Here is a 16,825-nt window from a genome sequence, read left to right as displayed (position 1 = left end):
CAACTCGGTGAGTTGAATGCACACATCACAAAAAGAATCTGAGAATTCTTCTGTCTAGTTTTTACGTGAAGAAATTCCCGTTTCCAATGAAGGCCTCAAAGAGGTCAAATTATCCACTTGCAGATTCTACAAAAAGACTGTTTCAAAATGCTCTATCAAAAGTAATGTTGAATTCTGCGAGTGGAATGCAAACATCACAAAGGAGTTTCTGAGAATGCTTCTGTCTAGTTTTTATGAAGATATTTCCTTTTCTACATTTGACCTCAAAGCCCTCTAAATACACACTTGCAAATTCTACAGAAAGTGTGTTTCAAAACGGCTCTACCAAAAGGAAAGTTCCGCTCTGTGAGTTGAGTGCAGACATCACAAAGAAGTTTCTGAGAATACTTCTGTCTACTTCTTATGTGAAGATATTAACGTTTCCAAAGAAGGCCTCAAAGCACTCCAAATATCCACTTGCAGGCTTTACAAACAGAGTGTTTCAAAACTGCTCTATCAAAAGAAAGGTTAAACTCTGTGAGTTGAACGCAAACATCACAAAGTAGTTTCTGAGAATGATTCTGTCTAGTTTTTATGTGAAGGTATTTGCTTTTCTAATATAGGCCTCCAAGCGATCTCAATATTAACTTGGAAGTTCTACAGAAAGTGGGTTTCAAAACTGCTCTATTGAAAGGAATGTTCAAATTTGTGGGTTGAATACACACATCACAGAGAAGTTTCTGAGAATTCTTCTGTCTAATTTTATATGAAGATATCCCGTTTCCAACGAAGGCCTCAAAGAGGTCGAAATATCCACCTGCAGATTCTACAAAAAGAGTGTTTCAAAACTGCTCTATCAAACGAAAGGTTAAACTCTGTGAGTTGAACGCACACATCACAAGGTGGTTTCTGAGAATGATTCTGTCTAGTTTTTATATGAAAGAAATTTCGTTTTCTTCCATAGGCTTCAAAGCACTCTAAATATGAACTTGGAAATTCTAGCAAAAGTGTGTTTCAAAACTGCTCTATTGAAAGGAAGCTTCACCTCTGTGAGTTGAATGCACACATCACAAAGAAGTTTCTCAGAATTCTGTCTAGTTTTAAATGAAGAAATCCCGTTTCCAACGAGGGCCACAAAGAGGTCCAAATATCCACGTGCAGACTTTACAAACAGAGTGTTTCAAAACCGCTCTATGAATAGAAAGGTTAAATTGTGTGAGTTGAATGCACACATCACAAAATAGTTTCTGAGAATGATTCTGTCTAGTTTTTATATGAAGTTATTTCCTTTTCTACCATATGCCTTAATGTGCTTTAAAAATCCACTTGCATATTCTACAAAAAGAGTGTTTCAAAACTGCTCTATCAAAAGCAAGTTTCAAGTCTGTGAGTGGAGTGGAGACTTCACAAAGAAGTTTCTGAGAATACTTCTGTCTGCTTTTTATGTGAAGATATTCCCATTTCCAAAGAAGGCCTCAAAGTGCTCCAAATATCCACTTGAAGACTTTACAAACAGAGTGTTTCAAAAGTGTTCTATCAAAAGAAAGGTTAAACTCTGTGAGTTGAACTCACACATAACAATCAAAAGAAAAGTTAAACTCTGTGAGTTGAATGCACACATCACAAATTATTTTCTGAGAATGATTCTGTCTAGTTTTCATATGAAGATATTTCCTTTTCTAATATAGGCCTCCAAGCGCTCTCAATATTAACTTGGAAATTCTACAAAAAGAGTGTTTCAAAGCTGCTCTATCGAAAGGAACTCACAGAGTTGAATACACACATCACAAAGAAGATTCTGAGAATTCTGTCTAGTTTTATATGAAGAAAACCAGTTTCCAACGAAGGCCTCAAAGAGTTCCAAATATCCACTTGCAGATTCTACAAAAAGAGTGTTTTGAAACTGCTCTATGAAGAGGAATGTTCAACTCTGTGAGTTGAATGCTAACATTACAAAGTAGTTTCTAAGCACGCTTCTGTCTAGCTTTTATGTGAAGATACGTCCTTTTCTACCATAGGCCTCAAAGCCCAGAAATACACACTTGCAAATTCTACAAAAAGAGAGTTTCAAAACTGCTCTATCAAAAGAAAGGTTAAATTCGGTGAGTTTAATGAACACATCACAAAGTAGTTTCTGAGAATGATTCTGTCTAGTTTTTATATGAAGATATTTCCTTTTCTACCATAGGCCTCAAAGCGCTTTAAATATCCACTTGCAAATTCTACCAAAAGAGGGTTTCAAAACTGCTCTATGAAAAGGAAGTTTCAACTCTGTGAGTGGAGTGCAGACATCACAAAGAAGTTTCTGAGAATACTTCTGTCTAGCTTTTATGTGAAGATGTTCCCGTTTACAAAAAAGGCCTCAAAGCACTCCAAACTTCCACCTTCAGACTTTACAAACAGACTGTTTCAAAACTGCTCTATCAAAGGAAGGTTAAACTCTGTGAGTTGAATGCACACATCACAAAGCAGTTTCTCTGAAGGATTCTGTCTGTTTTTTGTATTAAGATATTTCCTTTTCTACTATAGGCCTCCAATCGCTCTCAATATTAACTTGGAAATTTTACAAAAAGAGTGTTTCAAAACTGCTCTGTCAAAAGGGAGGTTCAACTCAGTGAGTTGAATGCAGACATCACAAAAAGAATCTGAGAATTCCTCTGTCTAGTTTTTATGTAAAGAAATTCCCGTTTCCAAGGAAGGCCTCAAAGAGGTCCAAACATCCACTTGCAGATTCTACAAAAAGAGTGTTTCAAAAGTGCTCTATCAAAAGGAATGTTGAACTCTCTGAGTTGAATGCAAACATCACAAAGAAGTTTCTGAGAATGGTTCTGTCTAGTTTTTATGTGAAGATATTTCCTTTTCTACTGTTGCCCTCAAAGCCCTCTAAATACACACCTGTAAATCCTACAAAAGGATTGTTTCAAAACTGGTCTATCAAAAGGAAAGTTAAACTCTGTAAGTTGAGTGAAGACATCACAAAGAAGTTTCTGAGAATACTTCTGTCCAATTTTTATGTGAAGATATTAACGTTTCCAAAGAAGCCCTCAAAGCACTCCAAATATCCACTTGCAGGCTTTACAAACAGAGTGTTTCAAAACCGCTCTATCAAAAGAAAGGTTAAACTCAATGAGTTGAATGCACACATCACAAAGTAGTTTCTGAGAATGATTCTGTGTAGTTTTTATGTGAAGATATTTCCTTTTCTACCATAGGTCTCAAAGCTCTTTAAATATCCATTTGCCAATTCTACAAAAAGAGTGCTTCAAAACTGCTCTATCAAAAGGAAGTTTCAAATATGTGAGTGGGTTGCAGACATCACAAAGGAGTTTCTGAGAATACTTCTGTCTACTTTTCATGTGAAGCTATTCCCTCTTCCAAAGAAGTCCTCAAAGCGCTCCAAATATCCACTTGCAGACTTTACAAACAGAGCGTTTCAAAAGTGCTCTATCAAGAGAAAGGTTAAATTCTGTGAGTCTAATGCCCACATCACAAAGTAGTTTCTGAGAATGATTCTGTCCAGCTTTTATATTAAGATATTCGCTTTTGTACCGTAGGCTTCAAAGCGCTCTAAATATCAACTTGGAAATTCTACAAAAAGAGTGTTTCAAAACTGCTCTATCAAAATAAAGGGTAAACTCCGTGAATTGAACACATACTTCACAAAGTAGTTTCTGAGAATGATTTTGTCAATTTTTATATGAAGATATTTCCTTTTCTACCATAGGCCTCAAAGCGCTTTAAATATCCACTTGCAAATACTACAAAAAGAGTGTTTCAAAACCGCTCTATCAAGAGGAAGGTTCAATTCTGTGAGTGGAGTGCAGACATGACAAAGAAGTTTTTGAGAATACTTCTGTCTACTTTTTATGTGAAGATTTTTCCCCTTAAAATAAGGCCTCAAACGCTCCAAATATACACTTGCAGACATTACAAACGGAGTGTTTCAAAACTGCTGTATCAAAAGAAAGGTTAAAGTCTGTGAGTTGAATGCACACATCTCAAAGTAGTTTCTGAGAATGATTCTGTCTAGTTTTTTATTAAGATATTTCCTTTTCTAATATAGACCTCCAAGTGCTCTCAAAATTAACTTGGAAATTCAACAAAAAGAGGGTTTCAAAACTGCTCTATCAAAAGGAAGGTTCACCTCTGTGAGTTGAATACACACATCACAAAGAAGTTTCTGAGAATTCTTGTGTCTAGTTTTATATTAAGAAATCCCATTTCCAACGAAGGCCTCAAAGAGGTCCAAATATCCACATGCAGATTCTACAGAAAGAGTGTTTCAAAACTGCTCTATCAAGGGGAATGTTCAACTCTGTGAGTTGAATGGAAACATCACAAAGTAGTTTCTGAGAATACTTCTGTCTAGCTTTTGTGAAGATATTTCCTTTTCTACCATAGGCCTCAAAGCGGTATAAATATCTACTTGCAAATTTTACAAAAAGAGTGTGTCAAAACTGCTTGATCAAAAGGAAGTTTCAACTCTGTGAGTTGAGTGCAGACATCACAAAGAAGTTTCTGAGAATCCTTCTGTCTACTTTTCATGTGAAGGTATTCCCGTTTCCAAAGAAGGCCTCAAAGCGCTCCAAATATCAACTTGCAGACTTAAAAATAGAGTGCTTCAAAAGTGCTCTATCAAAAGAAAGGTTAAACTCTGTGAGTTGAATGCACACATCACAAAGGAGTTTCTGAGATGGACTCTGTCTTGTTTTTGTATTAAGATATTTCCTTTTGTACCAAAGGCTTCAAAGCGCTCTAAATATCCACTTGGAACTTCTTCAAAAAGAGTGTTTCAAAACTGCTCTGTGAAAAGGAAGGTTCAACTCGGTGACTTGAATGCGCACATCACAAAGAATTTTCTGAGAATTCTTCTGTCTAGTTTTATATGAAGAAACCCTGTTTCCCAAGAAGGCCTCGAAAAGGTGCAAATATCCACTTACAGATTCAACAAAAAGAGTGTTTCAAAACTGCTCTATCAAGAGAAATGTTCAACTCTGTGAGTTGAATGCAAACATCACAAGGTAGTTTCTGAAAATGCTTCTGTCCAGCTTTTATGGAAGATACTTCCTTTTCTACCATAGGCCTCAAAGCCCGCCAAATACACACTTGCAAATTCTACAAAAAGTGTGTTTCAAAACTGCTCTATCAAAAGGAAAGTTCCGCTCTGTGAGTTGAGTGCAGACATCACAAAGAAGTTTCTGAGAATACTTCTGTCTACTTCTTATGTGAAGATATTATCGTTTCCAAAGAAGGCCTCAAAGCACTCCAAATATCCACTTGCAGGCTTTACAAACAGAGTGTTTCAAAACTGCTTTATCAAAAGAAAGGTTAAACTCTGTGAGTTGAACGCACACATCACAAAGTAGTTCCTGAGAATGATTCTGTCTAGTTTTTATGTGAAGATATTTGCTTTTCTAATATAGGCCTCCAAGCGATCTCAATATTAACTTGGAAATTCTACAAAAAGAGTGTTTCAAAAGTGCTCTGTCGAAGGGAAGGTTCAAATCTGTGAGATGAATACACACATCACAAAGAAGTTTCTGAGAATTCTTCTGTCTAGTTTTATATGAAGAAAGCCCGTTTCCAACGAAGGCCTCAAAGCACTCCAAATATCCACTTGCAGGCTTTACAAACAGAGTGTTTCAAAACTGCTCTATCAAAAGAAAGGTTAAACTCTGTGAGTTGAATGCACACATCACAAAGTAGTTTCTGAGAATGATTCTGTCTAGTTTTTATATGAAGGATATTTTGTTTTCTTCTATAGGCTTCAAAGCACTCTAAATATGCACTTGGAAATACAAGCAAAAGAGTGATTCAAAACTGCTCTATTTAAGGGAAGCTTCACCTCTGTGAGTTGAATGCACACATCACAAAGAAGTTTCTCAGAATTCTTCTGTCTAGTTTTAAATGAAGAAATCCCGTTTCCAACGAAGGCCTCAAAGACGTCCAAATATCCACTTGCAGACTTTAAAAACAGAGTGTTTCAAAACTGCTCTATGAATAGAAAGGTTAAACTGTGTGAGTTGAACGCACACATCACAAAGTAGTTTCTGAGAATGATTCTGTCTTTTTATATGAAGATATTTCCTTTTCTACCATATGCCTCAAAGTGCTTTACAAATCCACTTCAAATTCTACAAAAAGAGTGTTTCAAAACTGCTCTATCAAAATCAAGTTTCAAGTCTGTGAGTGGAGTGCAGACTTCACAAAGAAGTTTCGGAGAATACTTCTGTCTACTTTTTACGTGAAGATATTCCCATTTCCAAAGAAGGCCTCAAAGTGCTCCAAATATCCACTTGAAGACTTTACAAACAGAGTGTTTCAAAAGTGCTCTATCAAAAGAAAGTTTAAGCTCTGTGAGTTGAACTCACACATCACAATCAAGAGAAAGGTTAAACTCTGTGAGTTGAATGCACACATCACAAATTATTTTCTGAGAATGATTCTGTCTAGTTTTTATATGAAGATATCTCCTTTTCTAATATAGGCCTCCAAGCGCTCTCAATATTAACTTGGAAATTCTACAAAAAGAGTGTTTCAAAGCTGCTCTATCAAAAGGAACTCACAGAGTTGAATACACACATCACAAAGAAGTTTCTGAGAATGGTTCTGTCTAGTTTTTATGTGAAGATATTTCCTTTTCTACCATTGCCCACAAAGCCCTCTAAATACACACCTGTAAATCCTACAAAAAGATTGTTTCAAAACTGGTCTATCAAAAGGAAAGTTAAACTCTGTGAGTTGAGTGAAGACATCACAAAGAAGTTTCTGAGAATACTTCTGTCCAATTTTTATGTGAATATATTAACGTTTCCAAAGAAGGCCTCAAAGCACTTCAAATATCCACCTGCAGGCTTTTCAAACAGAGTGTTTCAAAACTGCTCTATCAAAAGAAAGTTTAAACTCAATGAGTTGAATGCACACATCATGAAGTAGTTTCTGAGAATGATTCTGTGTAATTTTTATATGAAGATATTTCCTTTTCTACCATAGGCCTCAAAGCTCTTTAAATATCCATTTGCCAATTCTACAAAAAGAGTGTTTCAAAACTGCTCCATCAAAAGGAAGTTTCAACTCTGTGAGTGGAGTGCAGACATCACAAAGGAGTTTCTGAGAATACTTCTGTCTAGCTTTTATGTGAATCTATTCCCTCTTCCAAAGAAGTCCTCAAAGCGCTCCAAATATCCACTTGCAGACTTTACAAACAGAGCGTTTCAAAAGTGTTCTATCAAAAGAAAGGTTAAACTCTGAATTGAACGCCCACATCACAAAGTAGTTTCTGAGAATGATTCTTTCCAGCTTTTATATTAAGATATTTCCTTTTGTGCCATAGGCTTCAAAGCCCTTTAAATATCAACTTGGAAATTCTACAGAAAGAGTGTTTCAAAAGTGCTCAGTAAAAAGGAAGATTCAACTCTCTGAGTTGAATAGACACATCACAAAGAAGTTTGTGAGAATTCTTCTGTCTAGTTTTATATGAAGAAATCCCGTTTCCAATGAAGGCCTCAAAGACGTCCAAATATCCACTTGCTGATTGTACAAAAGGAGTGTTTCAACACTACTCTATCAAAAGGAATGTTGAACTCTGTGAGTTGAATGCAAACATCACAAAGTAGTTTCTGAGAATGCTTCTGTCTAGCTTTTATGTGAAGATACTTCCTTTTCTACCATAGGCCTCAAAGCCTGCCAAATACACACTTGCAAATTCTACAAAAAGAGAGTTTCAAAACTGCTCTATCAAAAGAAAGGGTAAACTCTGTGAGTTGAATCCACACATCACAAAGTAGTTTCTGAGAATGATTCTGTCTAGTTTTTGTATGAAGATATTTCCTTTTCTACCATAGGCCTCAAAGCGCTTTAAATATCCACTTGCAAATACTACAAAAAGATTGTTTCAAAACTGCTCTATCAAAAGGAAGTTTCAACTCTGTGAGTGAAGTGCAGACATGACAAAGAAGTTTTTGAGAATACATCTTTCTATTTTTTATGCGAAGATGTTTGCCCTTACAAAGAAGGCCTCAAAGTGCTCCAAATATCCACTTGCAGACATTACAAACGGAGTGTTTCAAAACTGCTCTATCAAAAGAAAGGTTAAAGTCTGTGAGTTGAACGCACACATCTCAAAGTAGGTTCTGAGATTGAGTCTGTCTTGTTTTTATATTAAGATATTTCCTTTTGTACCATAGGCTTCAAAGCACTCTAAATATCCACATGGAAATCCTACAAAAAGGGTGTTTAAAAAGTGCTCTGACAAAAGGAAGGTTCAACTCAGTGAGTTGAATGCAGATATCACAAAAAGAATCTGAGAATTCTTCTGTCTAGTTTTTATGTGAAGAAATTCCCGTTTCCCAGGAAGGCCTCAAAGAGGTCCAAATATCCACTTGCAGATTCTACAAAAAGAGTGTTTCAAAAGTGCTCTATCGTAAGGAATGTTGAACTCTGTGAGTTGAATGCAAACATCATAAAGAAGTTTCTGAGAATCCTTCTGTCTAGTTTTTATGTGAAGATATTTCCTTTTCTACCGTAGGCCTCAAAGCCCTCTAAATAGACACTTGCAAAATTCCCAAAAGGGGTGTTTCAAAACTGCTCTATCAAAAGCAAGGTTCAACCCTGTGATTTGAATGCACCCAATCCAACAATTTTCTGAGAATTCTTCTAACCAGTTTTTGTGTGAATAAATTCGGGTTTCCAACGAAGGCCTCAAAGAGGTCCAACTATCCACTTGCAGATTCTACAAAAAGAATGTTTCAAAACTGCTCTATCAAAAGAAGTGTTGAGTTCTGTGAGTTTAATGCCCACATCACAAAGTAGTTCCTGAGAATGATTCTGTCTAGTTTTTATATGAAGATATTTCCTTTTCTACCAGTGGCTTCAAAGCGCTCTAAATATCCACTTGGAAATTCTACAAAAACAGTGTTTCAAAACTGCTGTATCTAAAGGAAGGTTCAACTCTGTGAGTTGAAAGCACACATCACAAAAATTTTCTGAGACTTCCTCTGTCTAGTTTTTATGTGAACAAATTCCCGTTTACAACGAAGGCCTCGAAGAGGTCCAAATAACCACTTGCCGATTCTACAAAAAGAGTGTTTCAAAACTGCTCTATCAAAAGGAATGTTGAACTCTGTGAGTTGAATGCAAACATCACAAAGTATTTTCTGAGAATGCTTCTGTCTAGTTTTTATGTGAAGATATTTCCTTTTCTACCATAGGACTCAAACCCAGTAAATAACCACTTGCAGATTATACAAAAAGAGTGTTTCAAAACTGCTCTATCAAAAGTTAAACTCTGTGAGTTGAACGCACAAATCACAAAGTAGTTTCTGAGAATGATTCTGTCTAGCTTTTATATGAAGATATATCCTTTTCTAATAGAGGCCTCCAGGCACTCTAAATATTTACTTGGAAATTCTACAAAAAGAGTGTTTCAAAACTGCTCTATCGAAAGGTAGTTTCAACTCTGTGAGTTGAATGCACACATCACAAAGAAGTTTCTGAGAATTCTTCTGTCTAGTTTTATATGAATATATTCCATTTCCAACGAAGGCCTCAAAGAGGTCCAAATAACTACTTGCAGATTCTACAAAAAGAGAGTTTCAAAACTCCTCTATCAAGAGGAATGTTCAACTCTGTTAGTTGAATGCAAAGATCACAAAGTAGTTACTGAGAATCCTTCTGTCTAGTTTTTATTTGAAGATATTTCCCTTTCTACCGTAGGCCTCAAAGCCCTCTAAATACACACTTGCCAATTCTACAAAAAGAGTGTTTCAAAACTGCTCTATCAAAAGAAAGTTTAAACTCTTTGACTTGAACGCACACATCACAAAGCAGTTTCTGAGAATGATTCTGTCTAGTTTTTATATGAAAATATTTCCTTTTCTACCATAGGCCTCCAAGCACTCTAAATATCCACTTTGAAATTCTACAGAAAGAGTGTTTCAAAACTGCTGTATCGAAAAGAAAGTTCAACTCTGTGAGTTGAATGCACACATCACAAAGAAGTTTCTGAGAATTCTTCTGTCTAGTTTTTATATGAAGAGATTCCCGTTTCCAACGAAGGCCTCAAAGAGGTGTAAATATCCACTTGCAGATCCTACAAAAAGAGTTTTACAAAACTGCTGAATCAAAAGGCATGTTCAACTCTGTGAGCTGAATGCAAACATCACAAAGTAGTTTCTGAGAATAATTCCACGTCGTTTTTCTATGAAGATATTTCCTTTTCAACCATAGGCCACAAGGCGCTCTAAATATAAACCTGCGAATTCCACAAAAAGAGAGTTTCCAAACTGCTCTATCAAGAGGAATGTTCAGCTCTCTGAGTTGAATGCAAACATCACAACGTAGTTTCTGAAAATGCTTCTGTGTAGTTTTTATGTGAAGATATTTACTTTTCTACCATAGGCCGTAAGTCTCTCTAAATATACTTTTGCAAATTCTACAAAAAGTGTGTTTCAAAACTGCTCTATCAAAAAGGAAGATTCAATTCTGTGAGTTGAGTGCAGACGTCACATAGAAGTTTCTGAGAATACTTCTGTCTACTATTTATGTGAAGATACTCCCGTTTCCAAAGAAGGCCTCAAAGCGCTCCAAATATCCACTTGCAGACGTTACAAACAGAGTGTTTCAAAACTGCTCTATCAAGAGAAAGGTGAAATTCTGTGAGTTGAATGCACACATCACAAAGTAGTTTCTGAGAATGCTTCTGTCTAGTTTTTATGTGAAGATATTTCCTTTTCTACCATAGTCCACAAAGCCCTCTAAATACACACTTGCAAATTCTACAAAAAGAGTGCTTCAAAACTGCTCTATCAAAAGAAAGCTTAAACTATGTGAATTGAATGCACACGTCACAAAGTAGTTTCTGAGAATGATTCTGCCTAGTTTTTATATGAAGATATTTGCTTTTCTAGCATAGGACTCAAAGCGCTCTAAATATCCACTTGTAAATTCTACAAAAAGGGTGTTTCAAAACTGCTCTATCAAAAGGAACGTTCAACTCTGTGAGTTGAATAAACACATCACAAAGAAGTTTCAGAGAATTCTTCTGTCTAGTTTTTATATGAAGAAATTCCCGTTTCCAACGGAGGCCTCATAGAGGTCCAAATATCCACTTGCAGATTCTCCAAAATGAGTGTTACAAAACTGCTCTATCAAGGCGAATATTCACCTCTGTGAGTTGAATGCAAACGTCACAAGGAGTTTCTAAGAATGCTTCTGTGTAGTTTTTCTATGAAGATTTCTCCATTTCTACCATAGGCCCCAAAGCGCGCTAAATATCCACTTGCAAATTCTACAAAAAGAGTGTTTCAAAACTGCTGTATGAAAAGGAAGGTTCAGCTCTGTGAGTTGAGTGCAGACATCACAAAGTAGTCGCTGAGAATACGTCTGTCTATTTTTATGTGAAGACATGCCCGTTTCCAAAGAAGGCCTCAAAGCACTCCAAATATCCACTTGCAGATTATACAAGCAGTGTTTCAAAACTGTTCTATCAAAAGAAAAGTTAAACTCTGTGAGTTGAATGCACACATCACAAAGTAGTTTCTGAGAATGATTCTGTCTAGTTTTTATGTGAAGGTATTTACTTTTCTACCATAGGCCCCAAAGCGCTATAAATATCCACTTGCAAATTCTGCAAAAAGAGTTTTTCAAAACTGCTCAACTGAAAGGAATGTTCAACTATGTGAGTTGAATGCATACATCACAAAGATGTTTCTGAGAATTCTTCTGTCTAGTTATTATATGAAGAAATTCCCGTTTCCAACGAAGGCCTCAAAGAGGTCCAAATATCCACTTGCATATTCTACAAAAAGAGGTTTTCAAAACTGCTCTATCAAAAGGAATGCTGAACTCTGTGAGTTGAATGCAAACATCACAAAGTAGTTTCTGAGAATGCTTCTGTCTCGTTTTTATGTGAAGATATTTCCTTTACTACCATAGGCCTCAAAGCCCTCTAAATATACACTTGCAAATTCTACAAAAAGAGTGTTTCAAAACTTCTCTCTCAAAAGAAAGGTTAAACTCTGTAAGTTGAAAGCACACATCACAAAGTAGTTTCTGAGAATTATTCTGTCTAGTTTTTATATGACAATATTTTGTTTTCCACCACAGGCCTCAATGCGCTTTAAATACCCACTTGCATATTCTACAAAAAGACTGTTTCAAAACTTCTCTATCAAAAGGAAGGTTCAACTCCGTGAGTTGAGTGCAGACATCACAAAGAAGTTTCTGAGAATACTTCTGTCTACTCTTTATATGAAGATGTTCATGTTTCCAAATAAGGCCTCAAAGCTCTCCAAATATCCACTTGCTGACTTACAAACAGAGTGTTTCAAAACTGTTCTATCAAAAAAAAGGTTACATGTGTGAGTTGAACGCATGCAACACAAAGTAGTTTCTGAGAATGATTCTGTCTAGTTTTTATATGAAGATACTTAATTTTCTACCATAGGCCTCCAAGCGCTCTAAATATTCACTTTTAAATTCTACAAAGAGTGTTTCAAAACTGCTCTATTGAAAGGAAGGTTCAACTCTGTGAGTTGAATGCACTCATCACAAAGAAGTTCCTGAGAATTCTTCTGTCAAGTTTTGTATGAAGGAATCCCGTTTCCAACAAAACCCTCAATGAGGTCCAAATATCCACTTTAAGATGCTACAAAAAGAGTGTTTCAAAACTGGTCTATCAAGAAGAATGTTCAACTCTGTGAGTTGAATGCAAACATCACAAAGTAGTTTCTGAGAATGCTTCTGTTTAGTTTTTATGTAAAGATATTTCCTTTTCTACCATGGGCCTCAAAGAGCTCTATATATACACTTGCAAATTCTACAAAAAGAGTTTTTCAAAACTCCTCTATCAAAAGAAAGGTTAAATTCTGTGAGTTGAATGCACACATCACAAAGTAGTTTCTGAGAATGATTCTGTCTAGTTTTTCTATGAAGATATTTCCTTATCTACCATAGTCCTCAAAGTGCTCCTAATATCCACTTGGAAATCACACAAAAAGAGTGTTTCAAAACTGCTCTGCAGAAAGGAACATTCAAGTTTGTGAGCTGAATGCACACATCACAAAGATGTTTCTGAGAATTTTTCTGTCTAGTTTTTAGATGAAGAACTTCCCGTTTCCAATGAAGGCCTCAATGAAGTCCAAATATCCACTTGCAGATTCTACAAAAAGAGTGTTTCAAAACTGCTCTATCAAAAGGAATGTTGAACTCTGTGAGTTGAATGGAAACATCAGAAAGTAGTTTCTGAGAATGTTTCTGTCTAGTTTTTATATGAAGATATTTCCTTTTCTACCATAGCCCTTAAAGCCCTCTAAATACACACTTGCAAATTGTACAAAAAGAGTGTTTCAAAACTGCTCTATCAAAAGAAAGCTTAAACTCTGTGAGTTGAATGCACAGATCACAAAGTAGTTTCTGAGAATGATTCTGTCTAGTTTTTCTATGAAGATATTTCCTTTTCTGCCACAGGCCTCCAAGCACTCTAAATATTCACTTGGAAATTATACAAAAAGTGTGTTTCAAAACTGCTCTATTGAAAGGAAGTTTCAACTCTGTGAGTTGAATGCACACATCACAAAGAAGTTTCTAAGAATTCTTCTGTCTAGTTTTTATATGAAGAAATTACCATTTCCAATGAAGGCCTCAAAGAGGTGCAAATATCCACTTGCAGATTCTACAAAAAGAGTGTTACAAAACTGCTCTATCAAAAGGAATGTTGAACTCTGTGAGTTGAATGCAAACATCACAAACTAGTTTCTGAGAATGCTTCTGTGCAGTTTTTCTATGAAGATATTTCCTTTTCTACCATAGGCCCCAAAGCGCTCTAAATATCCACTTGCAAATTCTACAAAAAGAGTGTTTCAAAACTACTCTACCAAAAGGAAGGTTCAACTCTGTCAGTTGAGTGCAGACATCACAACGAAGTTTCTGAGAATACTTCTGTCTACTTCTTATGTGAAGATACTCCCGTTTCCAAAGATGGCCTCAAAGCCCTCCAAATATCCACTTGCAGACTTTACAGAGTGTTTCCAAACTGCTCTGTCAAAAGAAAGTTTAAACTCTGTGAGTTGAACGCAACCATCACAAAGTAGTTTCTGAGAATGATTCTGTCTAGTTTTTATATAAAGATATTTCATTTTCTACCATAGGCCTCAAAGCGCTCTAAATATCCACTTGCAAATTCAACAAAAAGAGTGTTTGAAAACTGCTCTATGAAAAGCAATGTTCAACTGTTTGAGTTTAATGCACACATCACAAAAATTTTCTGAGAATTATTCTGTCTAGTTTTTATGTGAAGAAATTCCCGTTTCCAGTGAAGGCCTCAAAGTATTCCAAATATCCACATGCAGATTCTACAAAAAGAGTGATTCAAAACTGCTCTATCAAAAAGAGTGTTGAACTCTGTGAGTTGAATGCAAACATCACAAAGTAGTTTCTGAGAAAGTTTCTGTCCAGTTTTTATGTGAAGATATTTCCTTTTCTACCATAGGCCTCAAAGCCCTCTAAATACACACTTTCAAATACTACAAAAAGAGGGTTTCAAAACTGCTCTATCAACAGAACGTTTAAACTCTGTGTGTTGAACACAAACCTCACAAAGTAGTTTTTGAGAATGATTCTGTCTGGTTTTTATATGAAGGTATTTCCTTTCCTAACATAGGCCTCCAAGCGCTCTCAATATTCACTTGCAAATTCTACAAAAAGAGTGTTTCAAAACTGCTATATTGAAAGGAATGTTAAACTCTGTGAGTTGAATGCACACATTACCAAGAAGTTTCTGAGAATTCTTCTGTCTAGTTTTTATATGAAGAAATTCCCGTTTCCAAAAAGGCCTCTAAGAGGTACAAATATCCACTTGCAGATTCTTCAAAAAGACTGTTAGAAAACTGCTCTATCAAAAGGAATGTTCAACTATGTGTGTTGAATGCAAACATCACAAAGTAGTTTCTGAGAATGCTTCTGAGTAATTTTTCTATGAAGATATTTGCTTTTCTAACATAGGCCCCAAAACCCTCCAAATATCCACTTGCAAATCCTACAAAAAGAGTGTTTCAAAACTGCTCCATCAAAAGGAAGATTCAACTCTGTGAGTAGAGTGCAGACATCACAAAGTAGTTTCTGAGAATGCTTCTGTCTACTTTTTATGTGAAGATATTTCTTTTTCCACCATAGGTCTCAAATATCTGCTTGCAGATTCTACAAAAAGACTGTTTAAAAACAGCTCACTCAAAAGGAAGTCTCAACTCTGAGAGTTGAATGCACATATCACAAGGAAGTTTCTGAGAATGATTCTGTCTAGTTTTTATGTGAAGATATTTCCTTTTCCACCGAAGGCCTCCAAGCCCTCCAAATGAAAACTTGTAGATTCTAAAAAAGAGTGTTTCAAAACTGCTCTTTCAAAACAAAGGTTCAAGTCTGTGAGTTGAATGCACACATCACTAACCAGTTTCTGAGAATGCTTCTGTCTAGTTTTTATTTGAAGATATCCCATTTCCAACGAAAGCCTCAAAGAGCTCCAAATCTACACAAGCAGATTCTACAAAAGGAGAATTTCAATACTGCTCTATGAAAACAAAAGTTCAACTCTGTGAGTTGAGTGCACACATCACCAAGCAGTTTCTGAGAATGCTTCTGTGTAGTTTTTATGTGAAGATATTTTTTTTCCACCATAGGCCTCATATTGCTCCAAATATCCACTTGCAGATTCTACAAAAAGACTGTTTCAAAACTGCTCTGTCAAAAGGAAAGTTCAACTCTGTGAGTTGAATGCACACATCACAAGGAAGTTTCTGAGAATGCTTCTGTCTAGTTTTTATGTGAAGATATTTCATTTTCCACCGTAGGCCTCAAAGCTCTCCAAATGACCAGTTGTATGTCCTATGAATAGTGTGTTTCAGAACTGCTGTATCAAAAGAAAGGTTCAAATCTGTGAGTTGAATGCACACCTCACAATGCTGTTTCTGAGAATGCTTCTGTCTAGTTTTTATTTGAAGATATCCCATTTCCAACGAATTCCTCAAAGAGCTCCAAATATCCACAAGCAGATTCTACAAAAGGAGAGTTTCAATAGTCCTCTATCAAAAGAAAGGTTCACCTCTGTGAGTTGAATGCACACATCACAAAGAAGTTTCTGAGAATGCTTCTGTCTAGTTTTTATGTAAAGATATTTCCTTTTCCACCACAGGCCTCAAAGCGCTCCAAATGAACACTTGCAGATTCTACAAAAAGAGTGTTTCAAAACTGCTGTATCAATAGAAAGTTTCAACTCTATGAGTTGAATGCACACATCACAAAGAAGTTTCTGAGAATGCTTCTGTCTTGTTTTTATGTGAAGATTTTTTTTCCAACATAGGCCTCAAATCGCTCCAAATATCTGCTTGCAGATTCCAAAAAAGACTGTTTCAAAGCTGCTCTGTCAAAAGGAAAATTCAACTCTGTAAGTTGAAGGCACACATCAGAAAGAAGTTTATGAGAATGCTTCTGTCTAGTTTTTATGTGAAGATATTTCCTTTTCCACCACAGACCTCAAGGTGCACTAAATGAATACTTGCAGTTTCTACAAAAAAGGGTGTTTCAAAACTCCTCTATCAAAAGAAAAGTTCAACTCTGCGAATTTAATGCACACATCACAAAGTAGTTTCTGAGAATTCTTCTAACTAGTTTTTATGTGAAGATATTCCCGTTTACAATGAAGACCTCCAAAATCTCCAAATATCCACTAGCAGATTCTACAAAAGGAGTCTTTGAAAACTCCTCTATCAAAAGGAAGGTTCAACTCTATAAGTTGAGTGCCCACCAACAAAGAAGTTTCTGAGAATGCTTCAGTCTACTTTTCCTGTGAAGTTAT

General features: G+C 36.0%; 1 annotated feature.

The window, feature by feature from the left end:
* Positions 5,710-6,408: an enhancer, noted in NCBI's record as "OCT4-NANOG-H3K27ac-H3K4me1 hESC enhancer chr12:34841066-34841764 (GRCh37/hg19 assembly coordinates)". NCBI's record gives its function as "activates a minimal SCP1, AML or CMV promoter by ChIP-STARR-seq in primed H9 embryonic stem cells {active_cell/tissue: H9 hESC(primed)}" and the evidence as "EXISTENCE:reporter gene assay evidence [ECO:0000049][PMID:30033119]".

This window comes from Homo sapiens, chromosome 12 (genome assembly GCF_000001405.40).
Source record: "Homo sapiens chromosome 12, GRCh38.p14 Primary Assembly".
Taxonomy (NCBI): Eukaryota; Metazoa; Chordata; class Mammalia; order Primates; family Hominidae; genus Homo; species Homo sapiens.
This window is presented reverse-complemented; position numbering and strand designations above follow the sequence as displayed.